The 16,832-nt window shown below is 40.0% G+C and overlaps 1 long non-coding RNA gene across 2 annotated transcripts in view; it reads right to left on the bottom strand.

The window, feature by feature from the left end:
• LINC02284 (long intergenic non-protein coding RNA 2284) overlaps positions 1-16,832 on the bottom strand; it is a 116,044-nt gene that overhangs the window by 20,525 nt on the left and 78,687 nt on the right. Inside the window, exons 6-7 of one of the 2 annotated variants that reach the window (NR_187175.1) lie at positions 15,848-15,932; positions 13,208-13,919 (exon numbers count right to left, since the gene is read on the bottom strand). The exons of the other annotated variant lie outside the window; for it this stretch is intronic. This is a non-coding gene — a long non-coding RNA (long intergenic non-protein coding RNA 2284). Of the gene's footprint in view, positions 1-13,207; positions 13,920-15,847; positions 15,933-16,832 lie in introns of those variants that run through there. 2 annotated transcript variants of the gene reach the window in all.

The following is a 16,832-nucleotide window of genomic DNA, read 5'->3' as shown; positions in this document are numbered from 1 at the left end:
TCCACCTGCCTTGGTCTCCCAAAGTGTTGGGATTACAGGTGTGAGCCACTGCATCTGGTCCTCTAACTTTTCACCATCAACTCTACCTTTTAACACTACTTTAGCTATGTCCTGAGGTTATGGTATGTTTTATCTTTGTTCTCATTAGTTTCAATTTCTTGATTTCTGCCTTAGTTTCATTGTTTTCCCAAAAGTCATTCAGGAGCAGGTTGTTTAACTTCCATGTAATTGTATGGCTTAGAGTGATTTTCTTAGTATTAATTTCTATTTCTATTGCACTGTAGTCTGAGGGTATGGTTGGTATGATTTTGTTTTTTTTTTTAATTTGCTGAGAATTATTTTATGGCTGCTTGTTGTTTGGTTGATTTTAGAGTATGTGCCATATGCAGATGAGAAAAATCTATATTTTTTGGAGGGGTGGAGAGTTCTGTAGATGTCTGTTAGGTTCTGATATGGTTTGGGTCTGTGTCCCCACCCAAATCTCATTTCAAATTATAATGCCCAATGTTAGAGGTGGAGCCTGGTGGGAGATGATTGGGTGATCATGGGGGTGGGTTTCCCCTTTGGTACTGTTCTCATGTTAGTGTGTCAGTTACCATGAGATCTAGTTGTTTAGAAGTGTAGCGCACTGCACTCAACTCTTCCTCCTGCTCTGGCTGTGTAAGACATGCCTGCATCCCTTTTGCCTTTTGCCACAAGTTTCCTGAGGCCTACCCAGCCACGCTTCCTGTACAGCTTGCAGAACCGTGAGCCAATTAAACCTCTTTTCTATATAAATTACCCAGTCTCAGGTATTTCTTCATAGCAGTGTGAGAATGGACAAATAAAGGTCCCAAATATCTTTGTGAGTTTTCTGCCTCGGAGATCTGTCTAATATTGTCAGTAGGGTGTTAAAGTCTCCCACTATTATTGTGTAGCTATCTAAGCCTCTTTGCTGGTCTCTAAGAACTTGCTTTATGAATCTGGTTTCCCCCTTGTTGGATGGATATATATTTAGGATAGTTAGGTATTTTTGTTGAATTGAACCCTTTACCGTTATGTAATACCCCTCTTTGTCTTTTTCAATCATTGTTGGCTTGAAGTCTGTTTTGTCGGAAATTACAACATCAATCCCTGTTATTTTCTGTTTTCCACTTGCTTGGTAGATTTCTCTCTGTTCCTTTATTCTGAACCTATGATTATCATGAATGTGAGATAGGTCTCTTAAGGCATCATACAGTTAGGTATTGCCTTTTTATCAAACTTGCCACTCTGTCTTTTAATTGGGATATTTAGCCCATTTACATTCAAGGTTAATAATATAGGTTTGGCTGTGTCCCCACCCAAATCTCATCTTTAACTATAGCTCCTACCATTCCCATGTGTGTGGGAGGGACCCACTGGGAGAAAATCTTCACAAACTATGCATGCAACAAAGGACCAATATAGAATCTACAAGGAATTCAAACAAATCAGCAAGAAAGAAACCAAATAATCCTATCAATGAGTGGGCTAAGGACATGAATAGGCAATTCTAAAAAAAAAAGATATACAAGGCTGGACCATGGCAGCTCATACCTGTAATCCCAGCACTTTGGGAGGCCAATGTGGGTGGAACGCTTGAGGCCAGGAGTTCAAGATGAGCCTGGCCAACATGGTGAAACCCTGTTTTTACTAAAAAATACAAAACTTAGCCAGGTATGGTGGTGCATGCCTGTAATCCCAGCTATTCAGGAGGCTGAGGCATGAGAATCACTTGAACCTTGGAGGCGGAGGTTGCAGTGAGCCAAGATTGCACCACTGCACTCCAGTCTGGGTGACATAGTAAGATTCTGTCTCAAAAAAAAAAAAAAAAAAAAAAAAGGAAGGTATGCAAGTGGCCAACAAATACATTCAAAAATGTTGAACATCACTAATTATCAGGGAAATGCAAATCAAAACTACAATGCAATACCACCTTACTCCTGCAAAAATGGCCATAATTTAAAAATAAAAAAATAATAGATTTTGGCATGGATGTGGTGAAAAGGGAACACTTTTACACTGCTGGTAGGAATGTAAGCTAGTACAACCACTATAGCAAACAGTGTGGATATTACTTAAATAACTAAAAGTAGATCTACCATTTGATCCAGCAATCCCACTACTGGCTATCTACCTGGAGGAAAAGATGTTATTATATGAAAAAAGACACTTGCACATGCATGTTTATATCAGGACAATTTGCAACTGCAAAAATATGGAACCAGCCCAAAGGCCCATCAATCAACGAGTGGATAAAGAAAATGTGGCACATATACACTATGGACTGCTACTAAGCCATAAAAAGGAATGAAATAATGACATTCACAGTAACCTGGATGGAATCGGAGACCACTATTCCTAAGCGAAGTAACTCAGGAATGAAAAACCAAGCATCACATGTTCTCACTTATAAGTGGGAGCTAAGCTATGAGGATACAAAGGCATAAGAATGATACAAATGGACTTTGGAGACTCGAGGGGAAGGGTGGGAGGGGGGCAAATGATAGAAGACCACACATTGGTTACAGTGTACACTGCTCAGGTAATGAGTGCACCAAAATCTCAGAAACCACCAGTAAAGAACTCATCCATGTAATCAAGTACCACTTGTTCTCCCAAAACCTATTGAAATAATAATTAAAAAAGAAAGTGAAAAGACAATAGCAAAGACATAGAATCAACCCAGGTGCCCATCAGCAGTGGATTAGATAAAGAAAATGTGGTACTTATACGCCATGGAATACTACACAGCCATAAAAGAACAAAATCATGTCCTTTGCCAAGACATGGATGTAGCTAGAAGCCATTATCCTAAGCAAATCCTAAGTAACAGAAAACCAAATACCTTATATTCACACTTGGAAGTGGGAGCTAAGCATTGGATACACATGGACACAAAGGTGCGGTTAGACACTGGAGACTCCAAAAGCAGGAAGGGAAGGAAGGAGGAAGGGAAGGGCTGAAAAACTACCTATTGGGTACCATGTTCACTACTTGGGTGACGGGATCATTAGAAGCCCAGCCTCAGCATCATGCAGCTAACTCATGTAACAAACCTGCACATGTACCCCCGAATCTAAAATTTAAAACAGAAAGTGAAAAGATAATGCATAGAATGGAAGGGAATATTTGAAGATCATATATCCATGATCTATCAGGAAGCCTTACAATGCAATAATAAAGAGATATAACTCAAAATTGGTCAAAGTACTTGAATAGACATTTCTCCAAAGAAGATAAAGAAATGGCTAATAAGCACAAGTAAAGATAGTCAACATCATTAGCCATCAGTGAAATGCAAATAAAATATACAGTGAGATACCATCTCATACCCACTAAAATGGCCATCCTAAAAAAGATAATAACAAGTGTTGGTAAGAATGTGGAGAAATTGGCCAGCATGGTGGCTCACACTTGTAATTCTAGCACTTTGGGAGGCCGAGGTGGGCTGATCATGAGGTCAGGAGATCAAGACCATCCTGGCCAACATGGTGGAACCTCGCCTCTATTAAAAGTACAAAAATTAGCCGGGTGTGGTGGAGCATGCCTGTAGTCCCAGCTACTTGGGAGCCTGATGCAGGAGAATCACTTGAACCCAGGAGGCAGAGGTTGCAGTGAGCTGAGATCACACCACTGCACTCCAGCCTGGCAACACAGCAAGATGCCATCTTAAAAAAAAGAAAAAAAAAGGGGAGAAATTGGGAATACAAAATGGTGAAGGCACTTTGGAAAACAGTTTGGCAGTTCCTCAAATGGTTAAACCTAGAGTTACCATATAACCCCACAACTCTACTCCTAGGTATATGTATATACCCAGGAAAAATAAAAACATATATTCACACAAAAATTTGTAGATAAATGTTCAGAGCACCATTACCTATAATAACCAAAAATTTGAAACAACTTAAGTGTCCATCAACTGCTGAATGGATAAATGTTAAAATATGTTATATCCACACAATGGAATATTATTTAGTCATAAAAAAGAATGAAGTACTGATTTATACTATAGCATAAATGAACCATGAAGACATGCACTAAGTGAATGAAACCAATTAGAAAGATACATATTGTATAATTTTATTTATGTGAAATGACCAGGATAGGCAAATCCATGGAGACAGAAAGTAAATTAGTGGTTGCCTAGGGCTAAGGTAGATTTGGAGAGAGGTGGAGAGGGACTGCTATTGGGTGTAGAGTTTCTTTTTTAGGTGATGAAGATGTTCTGAAAGTGATTGTATTATTGGCTCTACACCTCTGTGAATATACTAAACGTGTTTGAATTGTATAATTTAAATGAGTGACTTTACACTTTAAATTTGTTTTAACAAATTTAAACAATTTAACAATTTGTTAAACTTTAAATTTGTTCCTGTGAATTATATTTCAATATAAAGCTGTAATCTGGGAGGAGAAAATACCGCTACCTAACTCCCTCATACAATGAGAGAAAGAAAAAGGAGAGGATGGGAAATGTAGTCTCCAATGACTGGCATATTCCTAGTTCTATTACTAAAAGAAAGAAAGCAGGATGGGTATTTGTGCACTTAGACTCTGCCACACATCCCATCTCCACCACGTCCTGCTCTCTGACATAGCCTTCATGCGTGCAGATCAGGGCAGAAATTCCCCAGACATCCATCCTAGGCTACCCTGGCAGCCAATGTGACTATTTCCCTGAAGGCCCTTCTCCCATCTACTGCAAGTCACCTACCATGGAGTTTGCCTACTCTTCTGTGATATAGTTTTGTTTACTCAAAATGGAAAAGACATGTCCTGACTTAGTGTGATGTCTCCTTTAGCCTGTACCTAATGTCCTGGCCTATACAAAGTAGAGCCTATTCCCTTCTGAGGTGAATACTTCTTTGAAAGAGAAATTTACTCCAAGTTTTTGAGGGCTTAAGTTAGATGCCCTGTGGATAAATTTCCCTGGTATCAAACTCTCTGTTTCATGTCATCCTTTACCACACACTTTTTTTTTTTTTTAAATCAAGACAGGGCTTCACTCTGTTGCCAAAGGCAGGAGTGCAGTGGCATGATCTCAGCTCACTGCAACCTCCGCCTCCTGGGCTCAAGCGATCTTCCTGCCTCAGCCTCCCAAGTAGCCAAGACTACAGGCACATGCCACCACACCCAGCTAACTTTGTATTTTTATAGAGACAGGGTTTCGCCATGTTGCCCAGACTGGTCTTGAACTCCTGAGCTCAAAGGATCAGCCCTCCTCAGCCTCCCAAATTGTTGGGATTACAGCCATGAGCCACCATGCCTGGCCACCACACACTTTCAATGACCTTCTACTTTAGGGTGAATTCTTTAGAATTCTTTAGCATCCTAAAGGGGTTGAGAAGGCCTCCAGCTTAATAGGTCAGGGGCCTTTACCATTTTATCACCCATAGGGCCCAAGAGGTCTCTGTGCAGGAAGGCTTAAAATCCCTTCCTTCCAATGGTGAGTCCCACTGTATTCTTCGCTACATTTATAAAAGGAAATTTAGTAAGTGTCAGATAAGTGCTTGTTGATCTATTGATTCAGCCTCACCATAGAACTGAGAAAAATTCCGTCTAAAAAGAAGTAAAATAGTGCTTAAAGCTTGCACTACAGGGTAGTGTAGGAGGGTTCACCAGGGTGCCTCAGTTTTCCCATTTGTTAAATGAAGATGCTATTTTTGAAGTGTGTGAGCATCTCCAGATAAATGCTCATAACTGAGAAAATGGATTCAGCATCTGACTGTCTAAAAGTGGAAGGAGTTGACAGAAAAGCCTTCCTTCTCTATAGTCAGGCTTCTCTGTAACACGGGAGAGAGGCTGTTTTTCAGCAAGCTCTGGGAAAGAACACAGGGAACTAAGCTGAGAAGGTAAGTTCATGACTCAACAGACATCCTTTCCTGTACTTTTGCTTTATCTTCTTACTTAAGCAAAGTTGAAATTGTTTCCTTGCTGAGCTTGTTTTTCCAGAGTATTAGCTAATGTGGTAATTGGGATACATTTGTTCCTGTTAAATTCAGGATTTCAAGAAGCAGCTGAATTTAAACTAACCTAAGTGTGATATATAAAGATCTTTAGTGTTCTTTAATCCAGACCATTATTAAACTTCCTGGAATATGGAAAAAAACACAAAATAATTAAATAAACTCACATTGTGTTGTAAAGTCCATTTGCATTGCACATACCAGCAGATCATGCTTGGATGGGTTTTTTTAATTTCTTGACTTATTTCCTTTACTAATGACCTCTGTACTCATTAGAAGGTATTAGCACATTACAAAGACATTATGAAGCATCGATGGGCGTACATTTGTCCCATATTTAATTTTATTCCTGAGAGTAATGCTCAGGTTTTCCTTCATGCTGGTTTTCTTTTCAGCACACTCTGGTAGTTTGCAAATAAAACAATCAGGGCTAGTTTCACAGGAGTACAACCTATGCAACCACACAGGGTCCCATGTTTAGAAAGTTCCCAGACTTGGAAGGATCACATACTTGTCTTAATGTTCTGCTGTCATTTTTGTTAGTTTATTTCCAAAGAAATTCATTTCTTTGGAGAGCCATTCTCTCTGTGGTTTTAGGTTGACATAAGTGACTCCATTTTGGTACTGATACCCTTCACATCGTCTTGAGATTCTCAATAATTTCGAACAAGGGGCCACATACTCGTTTTGCACTTGGTCCTGAAAATTTTGTAGCTGGTACTAACCACAATACTTGGAATTTCAGATCTCACCTCTGATCATTATTAGCTGTGTGGCCTTGGACAGGTTTCTGAACCTCTCTCAACTTCACTCTCTTCAAACATTAAATTTGAAAGAACAACATCTGTCTCAGAATTGTTGTAAGAATTAGCACTCAAATAAGATAGAAAATACACTGGTGTGTAGCACATGGTTCTAGTAACTAACTCTTATTAATTGCACACTCTGTGCCAGGCACCGTGCGTGCTGTTTACACAGATCAGCTTATTAATTCCTTGCACCTGTGGCTGATGATCAGCAAATACACCATTTGCACTTAGAGGATTTTTATAGCCAGTGTCCATTTCTCACTGGTCCAGCCTCCATTCTGGTTGGTGTCTATGGTGATTATGGTTATCATTACTATTTCTCTCGATGCTCTGTGCAGCTGGTAGTATTTTATAAATGAAAGAATTGAGGCACAGACATATTAAGTAACTTGCCCAAGATCACACAGCTTATAAGTAGACACTCCTTAACTATTAATGGCATAAACTCTAGTAAATAGCAGAGAGAGGTGAGATCTTTTAACTTGAAGTTTAATGTTCTTTCCTTCTGTCTCCAATTTTTTACCCTCAAGGAGTTAATAGTTGAGTGAGAGTGATGTTACATATAAATCTGGCTACTGCACAAAGCTGTGTGCTCCTACCTGTTCAGCCTCACCTGCCAAACACATGCTCTCCAAGCTGCTTGCAGTTACCCTCTCAGGCTTCCAGGCCTTTGATTAAATTGTTTCCTCATCTAAAGGTTCTTCCCTAATTCCCAGTCCTTAGCACTTCCTACCTAATTTCTCACTTTCTTTTAAGAATCAACTTAAGTGGTTCACCCCTTAAGAAGTCCTCTCCTCTGAGCACTCTTAGAATTTTACACATAGTTTTATCATAATGCATCTCACATAAATTCTAATGCTGGTTTTCTTGTCTGCCTTCCTCCAGGCCTGAAAGATCATTGATGAGCAAAGATGACATATTGCTCATCTGGGTGTCACCAGCACTTAGGAAAGTGTGCCTGACACATAGCTACTATTCAGTACATAATGAATGAAAGTTGGTACCATTTTCCAAGGAATATCAGATGCTCTAATTCAAAGGGGGGAGAGATGAACTCAATGGATAGACACAGCCTTCATAGAGGAAGTGGTCTGCATATTAGGTTTTGAAGGATAGGGAAGACTAAAATAATAAGATTGAGGATACAGGCAGAAAATCCACTCAGAAGGAACAGCTTGTGCAAAAGTGGGAATATGGAAGGGTTAAGACAAAGCTTGTTTAGAAAACAACAGGTAGATCATTTGGCCTGGAACATTGTATTTTTACTGAGCAAGGGATCCCCAAACCAAATGCTTCTTGGAACCAGGCTTTATAGCACAATAAATAAATAAAACATGGCCCCATGTGGTACAATAGAAGGGGAAGGGATTGTGGCAAACCGAAAAAAACATGCCCTACTGTGAAGGAATTAGTTACTACTTCTCCATGACCAATAATCATGTAAGGATCTTTCGATTTTTCCAGATAACATGAAAATCCAGATTCTACATGTGTGAAATATCTTGATTTTTTTTTTTTACTTTTTATTTTTAAACAATTTTAGACTTGTAGAAAAACTGGGAAAATACTGCAGAAAGTTCATGTATACTCTCCACCCAGCTTTCCCTAATATTGTCAGCTTTCATACCCATAGTATAATTCTCAGAACTATGAGTTAACATTGCTATAAAGAATTAAACTGCAGTGCTTATTCAAATTTCATCAGTTTTCCCCTAAGGTTCTTTTTCTGTTCCAGGATCCAGTCCAGGATCCCACATTGCTTTTAGTGTTGTATTTCTTTTTTTTGTTTTGTTTGGTTTTCTGACAGAGTCTCACTCTATTGCCCAGGCTGGAGTGCAGTGGCATGATCTTGGCTCACTGCAACCTCGCCTTCTGGGTTCAAGCGATTCCCCTGCTTCAGCCTACTGAGTAGCTGGGACTACAGACGCCCACCACCATGCCCAGCTAATTTTTGTATTTTTAGTAGAGACAGGGTTACACTGTGTTGGCCAGGCTGGTCTCAAACTCCTGACCTCAGGATCCGCCCGCCTCGGCCTCCCAAAGTGCCGGGATTACAGGCGTGAGCCACCATGCCCGGCCTAATTGTTGTATTTCTTTAGTTTCGGTCTTTCCTTGTCTTTCATGACTTTAACATTTTATTTTGTTTTTAATTTTTTTTTATTATACTTTAAGTTTTAGGGTACATGTGCACAACGTGCAGGTTTGTTACATATGTATACATGTGCCATGTTGGTGTGCTGTACCCATTAACTCATCATTTAACCTTAGGTATATCTCCTAACGCTGTCCCTCCCCGCTTCCCCCACGCCACAACAGGCCCCAGTGTGTGATGTTCCCCTTCCTGTGTCCATGTGTTCTCATTGTTCAATTCCCACCTATGAGTGAGAACATGCAGTGTTTGGTTTTTTGTCCTTGCGATAGTTTGCTGAGAATGATGGTTTCCAGCTTCATCCATGTCCCTACAAAGGACATGAACTCATCATTCTTTATGGCTGCATAGTAGTCCATGGTGTATATGTGCCACATTTGCTTAATCCAGTCTATCGGTGGACATTTGGGTTGGTTCCAAGTCTTTGCTATTGTGAATAGTGCTGCAATAAACATACATGTGCATGTGTCTTCATAGCAGCATGATTTATAATCCTTTGGGTATATACCCAGTAATGGGATGGCTGGGTCAAATGGTATTTCTAGTTCTAGATCCCTGAGGAATCACCACACTGACTTCCACAATGGTTGAACTAGTTTACAGTCCCACCAACAGTGTAAAAGTGTTCCTATTTCTCCACATCCTCTCCAGCACCTGTTGTTTCCTGACTTTTTAATGATTGCCATTCTAACTGGTGTGAGATGGTATCTCATTGTGGTTTTGATTTGCATTTCTTTGATGGCCAGTGATGATGAGCATTTTTTCATGTGTCTTTTGGCTGCATAAATGTCTTCTTTTGAGAAGTGTCTGTTCATATCCTTCGCCCACTTGTTGATGGGGTTGTTTGTTTTTTTCTTGTAAATTTGTTTGAGTTCATTGTAGATTCTGGATATTAGCCCTTTGTCAGATGAGTAGATTGCAAAAACTTTCTCTCATTCTGTAGGTTGCCTGTTTACTCTGATGGTAGTTTCTTTTGCTGTGCAGAAGTTCTTTAGTTTAATTAGATCCCATTTGTCAATTTTGGCTTTGGTTGCCATTGCTTTTGGTGTTTTAGACATGAAGTCCTTGCTCATGCCTATGTCCTGAATGGTATTGCCTAGGTTTTCTTCTAGGGTATTTATGGCCCAAGGTAATTTATAGATTCAATGCCATCCCCATCAAGCTACAAATGACTTTCTTCATGGAATTGGAAAAAAACTACTTTAAAGTTCATATGGAACCAAAAAGGAGCCCGCATTGCCAAGTCAATCCTAAGCCAAAAGAACAAAGCTGGAGGCATCATGCTACCTGACTTCAAACTATACTACAAGGCTACAGTAACCAAAACAGCATGGTACTTGTACCAAAACAGAGATATAGACCAACGGAACAGAACAGAGCCCTCAGAAATAATGCCACATATCTACAACTATCTGATCTTTGACAAACCTAACAAAAACAAGAAATGGGGAAAGGATTCCCTATTTAATAAATGGTGCTGGGAAAACTGGCTAGCCATATGTAGAAAGCTGAAACTGGATCCCTTCCTTACACCTTATACAAAAATTAATTCAAGATGAATTAAAGACTTAAATGTTAGACTTTAACATTTTAGATGACTACTTGTCAATTATTTTGTAGAGTGTTTCTATTTTCTCATGATTAAGTTGAGATTTTTGCATTTTTTTGCAAAAATACCACAAAAGTGATGCTGTGCCCATCTCAGTGCATCATATTGGGGGGTACATGATGTCAATATGTCCTATCAGTGGTGATGCTTACTTTGATCATTCAGTTAAGATGGTGTCTGCCATGTTTTTCCATTGTAAAGTTTTCATTTTTTTTTTTTTTACCTAATAAACCAATAGTTTGGGGACAATACTTTGAAGCTACAAGTATCCTGTTTCCTATTAAACTTTAGTCCACTGATTTTAACATCTGTCAGTGGATCTTGCCTACAATGATTACTGTTTAATGTAATATCTGCCTAGTGGTGATGTATTTCCTGCATTCATTCTACATTTATTAATTAGAATTCCTCTGTAAGGAAAAGCTGTCCTATCCCTTTCCCCTGTTTATTTATTTATTCAATTATTTATATTAGTATGGATATTTATTTTATTTTATGGGTTACAATCCATTATTATTATTGTTATTTTGTTGCTCAAATTGTTCTCGATTTGCCCATTGGGAGTGCCTTCCAATTGGCTTGGCTGTGATGTGCTTTTGTCATGCCTCATCCTATTTTGAGCACTTCCTTATTTTCTGGGATGGCAACATGTTTCAGAGGCTCATCTTCTGCTTTCCTCGCCCTAGCCCTGGAATCAGCAACTTCTCCAAGAAGCTCTGGCTCCTCTTATTGGAAAAGAAACATCTTGGATTTAAAATATAAAAAATGAACTCAAACATAAAAATATATTGCGGATGCATATTTGGGTCATATAGTTTTTCACGTTGGAACCTCTGATACAAGAGATCACAGAGATAGCAGGAAAGGTCAGAAGGTCGACTCTCTACTTGGAATTGCTAAATACATATTCTAAACATGTAGCAGAAACAATAGCCTTGAAGGAAGAGATTTTTTCATTACTCAAGCCAGAGCCAAGTTTCTGGGCCAGACAATAGATTTTTTTTTTTTAATTAATAAGCTTTGTGTTTTAGAGCAGTTTTAGGTTCACAGCAACATCAAGCAGAAAGTATAGGGTTCCCACATAGCTCCTATCCCAACTTACACAGAACCTCCTCCACTACCGGCATCCCCCACTAGAGTGGTACAATGGATGAACTTACATTGACATATGATTGTCACCCAAAGTCCACAGTTTACATTAGGGCTCACTCCTGGTGTTGTATGTTCTAAGGGTTTTGATAGATGTATAAAGACATGTATCCACCGTTTTGGTATCATACAGAGTAATTTCACTGCCCTAAAAATCCTCTGTGCTCTGTCTATTCACTCCTCCCTCCCCACAACCTCTGCCAGCCACTAATCTTTTTACTGTCTCCATAGTTTTGTCTTTTCTAGAATGTCATATACTGTAATTAGAATCATACAGTATGTGGCCTGCTCAGATTGACTTCTCTCATTTAGCAATATGCATTTAAATTCCTCTATGTCATTTCATGGCTTGATAGCTCATTTCCTTCTAGAGGTAAATAATATTCCATTGTCTAGATATACTACAGTTTATCCATTCACCTACTTAAGGACGTTTTGGTTGCTTTTAAGTTTTAACAATTATAAGTAAAGCTACTATAAACATCTGTGTGCGGATTTTTGTGTGGACATAATTTTTCAATTCGTTTGGGTAAATACTAATAAGTATAATTGTCAGATCATACGGTACGGCTATGTTTAGTTTTGTAAGAAAATACCAAACTGTCTTCCAAATTGGCTGTACCAGTTTGCAATTCCACCAGCAATAAATGGGAGTTTCTGTTGTCTTGTCTCACCAGCATTTGGTGTTGTCAGTGTTTTGCATTTTGGCCATTTTAATAGGTTTGCAGTCATATCTCAATGTTGTTTTAATTTGTATTTCTCTGATGAGATATGATGTAGAACATCTTTTCATATGCTTATTTGCCATATGTATACCTTTTTTGGTGAGATCTCTGTTTAGGTCTTTTGCCCTTTTTTTTTTTTTTTTTTTTTTTTTTTTGAGATGGAGTCTCACTCTGTCACCCAGGCTGGAGTGCAGTGGTGCTATCTCAGCTCACTGCAACCTCTGCCTCCTAGATTTGAGCGGTTCTCCTGCCTCAGCCTCCCAAGTAGCTGGGACTACAGGTGCATCCCACCATGCCTGGCTAATTTATGTATTTTTAATAGAGACAGGGTTTCACCATGTTGGCCAGGCTGGTCTTGAACTCCTGACCTCAACTGATCCACCTGTCTTGGCCTCCCAAAGTGCTGGGATGACAGGCATGAGCCACAGTGCCAAGCCTTGCCCATTTTTAGTTGGGTTGTTTGTTTTCTTATTCTTAATTGGGTTGTTTGCTGAGCTTGAAGGGTTTTTAGTATATTTTGGATAATAGTCCTTTATCAGACGTCTCTTTTGCAAATATTTTCTCCCAGTCTGTAGCTTGTCTTCTCATTCCCTTGACATTGTCCTTCACAGAGGAGAAGTTTTTAATTTTAATGAAGCCCAGCTTATCAATTATTTCTTTCATGTGTCATGCCTGTAGTTTTGTATCTTAAAAGTCATCTCCATACCCAAGGTCAATTAGGTTTTCTTTTATGGTATCTTGTAGGAATTTTATTGTTTTGTGTTTTATATGTAAGTCTGTGATCCATTTTTAGTTAATTTTTGTGAAGAGTGTAAGGGCTTTATCTAGATGGGTCTTTTTTAAATTTTATTTTTATTTTTATTTTTGCATGTAGATGTTCCAGTTGTTCTAGCAACATTTGTTGAAAAAACAAACAAAACAAAACAAAAAAGCACCACATTTTCTCCATTGAATTGCCTTTGTTACTTTGCCAAAAATCAGGTGACCAATCATGCAGGTCCGTTTCTGGACTCTCTATTCTGTTTCATTTGTCTCTTTGTCTGTTTTTTTCACCAGATGCCACACTGCCTTGATTACTGTAGCTTTACAGTAAGACAATAGATTTTTAAGAATACAGTACTCACCTGGCTGGTTCTCTTAAAGACAGTCCAGACAGCACGGTGCAGCAACAAAACAGGGGAGACGATGGGGCCAAAGAGGGCTTTCACATTTGTCTAACTCTCCTGCACACACACAGAAGGGAAGTTTGCCTTACTTCTGGATATATCAAGGGAGTGATATAAAGGGCCCCAGTGGATCTGAAGGAGCTTTTGGTTGGGATGAGGGATACACAGAGTACATGGACATGCTAATCTGATACCAAAGAGGAAACAAAGACACTGGGCTAAAGGTGTGATGTCCAAAGAGCAGATGGTGCAAGCAATATCTCAGTGAATGCCAGTCCATACTGAAGGCCACCTCCTCCTTCCCATTGCTAGAAGCTTCAGCCTTCCCTGCAACTTAGAGTATCTGTGGAGAAAGTGGGGGAGGGAACCTAAATACACCAAGTTTGTAAAGTTACAAAAAAATATAGAAAAAACTGACATGTTTTAACACACTTGTTAGCTTGGGTTTTGTTTGTTTGTTTGTTTGTTTTTAAGATGGAGTCTTGCTCTGTCACCCAGGCTGGAATGCAGTGGCGTGATCTCGGCTCACTGCAAGCTCCGCATCCCGGGTTCATGCCATTCTCCTGCCTCAGCCTCCTGAGTAGCTGGGACTACAGGTGCCCACTACCACACCTGGCTAACTTTTTGTATTTTTAGTAGAGACGGGGTTTCACTGTGTTAGCCAGGATGGTCTCGATCTCCTGACTTCGTGATCCGCTCGCCTCAGCCTCCCAAAGTAGCTTGGGTTTTAAAAGTCTCACCTAGGCCGGGTGCAGTGGCTCATGACTATAATCCCAGTACTTTGGGAGGCTGAGGCGAGTGGACCACGTGAGGTCAGGAGTTCGAGACCAGCCTGGCCAACATGGTGAAACCCCATCTCTACTAAAAATACAAAAATTAGCCCAGCATGGTGGCACATGCCTGTAATCCCAGCTACTCGGGAGGCTGAGGCAGGAGAATGGCTTGAACCCAGGAGGTGGATGTTGCAGGGAGCCAAGATCGTGCCATTGCACTCCAGCCTAGGCAATAGAGTGAGACTCAGTCTCAAAAAAAAGAAGTCTTACCTGCTGTAAAATCATGAAGCTAACTTAGTGCTCATCTATCAAACTTATACTGAATGAGGTTACTTGAATGTCTGAGTTCAGACTTCTAAGAGCATGAAAGGCAGCAGAGTTCTCTTGAAGGGCAGTAGAGCCTCCTTTTTGTTTTTTGTTTCGCACATTCTAGTTGTGCTAACCAAGAGAGATGTACCCCCACCCTACTCCAGGTAATCTTATTAAAACGTTCGCTCCAATTGTGTTGAGTCATGGCTCATTGGATAAGAACATTTAGATATTAGAAGTCCACATCATCTAAGGTCAAGCCTCCAGTGAAAGGAACATGGAGGTGATGCAATTATACTGATTTCTGAGCAGATGGCTGTTTTCTAGAGGGAAATGGTGCATAAAACACACAAATAATGAAAGACTTGAGAGAGAAATTCTTCATGGCAGTCGTGACTATAAAATCAACACAAAGGGACTAATTCACAGAATTGGTACAATGTTTAAAAGCACTAGGGAAAATTAGAGGTACTTGCTGCCCTGATGGGGCATTCTGCCTAGACTTGGAGGTGTAAGGGCATAGGATGAGGTGCAGGTATACACGTTTCTATATGTGGTATATACAAATCTCAGTTCACAAACCCAGGTGTGGAAAGAGTTAATACTTACAATGACCCCCTTTTCTTCCAGGCAATAGAAATTTAATTTCAGTCATTTCCGGATACCTGCCTTTCCCCTGTGATTGCATCTCAGTTTGAGGATTACACAGTGCTACTGAATGAAGGTTAGGAATGTAGGGCATCTCATCTAAGTTGGCTGCACTCTTCACTAGCATAGCTACTTAGATGGGACAGGGACACCTGCTGGTCATTGCCAAGTCATCCCTTTGTCAGACCATACCATAGTAACTCTGGATCTGGTTTTGAGTTGCAATACCTTGATGTCTCCATGCCATTCTGAGACCACAGAAAACTTGGTGGGACCATCCACAGCCATGTGTCACTTCCTTGGTACCCTTGGGTACACAAGTATAATTCTACTGTCCCAGTACCCCAACCTCACCATTCACAGGTCTACTCTGAGACATTTTCAAACTTATCTACCAGGGCAGAGTAGACAGCCATCCTTACTTGGGGGTCTTGCCTCCTTTCTCGAGTCTACCAGAGAAGGTGAACACAGGTTTCTTCTGTACTACAATCCCGAAACATATCTGGAGTTCCTGTTGTGGAACATTCTCCCTGGTACCTACCAGGAAGAGAGCTGGGTGCAGGCTTTTTCATCCAGGACTCATTACCATCTACGACAGGGGTGTTCAATCTTTTGGCTTCCTTTAGCTGCATTGGAAGAAAGCAAATTGTTTTGGGCCACACATACAATACACTAACACTAACAATAGCTGATGAGCTAAAACAATTGCAAAAAAATCTCATAAAGTTTTAAGAAAATTTATGAATTTGTGTTGGGTGACATTCAAACCCATCTTGGGCTGCATGTGACCTGCAGGCTGCGGGTTGAACAAGCTTGATCTAAGCTCTCCTTTCTTCTGTTTTCAGAGGAAGAACAAGCTTTCTCTGTTTTCCTGGTTGGTTGATGAAGGGAGCTTGGGGCACACTTTGGCCTAAAGGAGGGAGAGCCATGTGGATTCAGGAAGCTTCTTTTTTATTATTCATCACTTCTCCCACATCTATTGTAAACACTCCAGTTCTGTTCTCCTGAGGCCAAGACTTTAAAAACTAAAAAGCTAATTAATTGACTCATTTTGTGTTATTTGCTTTCTTCCCAGTTATTCCTTTCCTTAGGTAGTGATGCCTACATAGACAGAAGGATCAAGGGTTACAAGAGGGGTGAAAAACTATACATATATTCTAGCCACATAAACACTACTGTGTTTCCCCAGTATCGTGATCCCTGCCAAGGTCAGCTACAGCCCACAATGTACACTAGGAAAAAATCAAACAATGTGGACTTAGCAGCTGGATTAACAGTGGGGTCAGCTCAGGAGACCTCACCTTCGATTCTTTGGTTCATTCTCCGTTCTTAGTCTTCTTGGAGGGCCCCAGTTGTTGTATTTTAGAAACTAGGACTTCATCAATCAGATATCATGCTAAAATGAGTCCAGCCCTTTTCTTGTCTCCTCTCACTTTGCCTCTTCTCCTTTCTCTTTTTCTTCCTGCCTCTCCATTTTTCTTTCTCTACTCTGCTTTGTCTTTCCTCTCCAAAGGCAAATCAAAGGA

Source organism: Homo sapiens, chromosome 14 (genome assembly GCF_000001405.40).
Source record: "Homo sapiens chromosome 14, GRCh38.p14 Primary Assembly".
NCBI classification, from domain to species: domain Eukaryota; kingdom Metazoa; phylum Chordata; class Mammalia; order Primates; family Hominidae; genus Homo; species Homo sapiens.
Note: the sequence above shows the minus strand (reverse complement) of the source record. Positions and strands in the feature narration are given on the sequence as shown.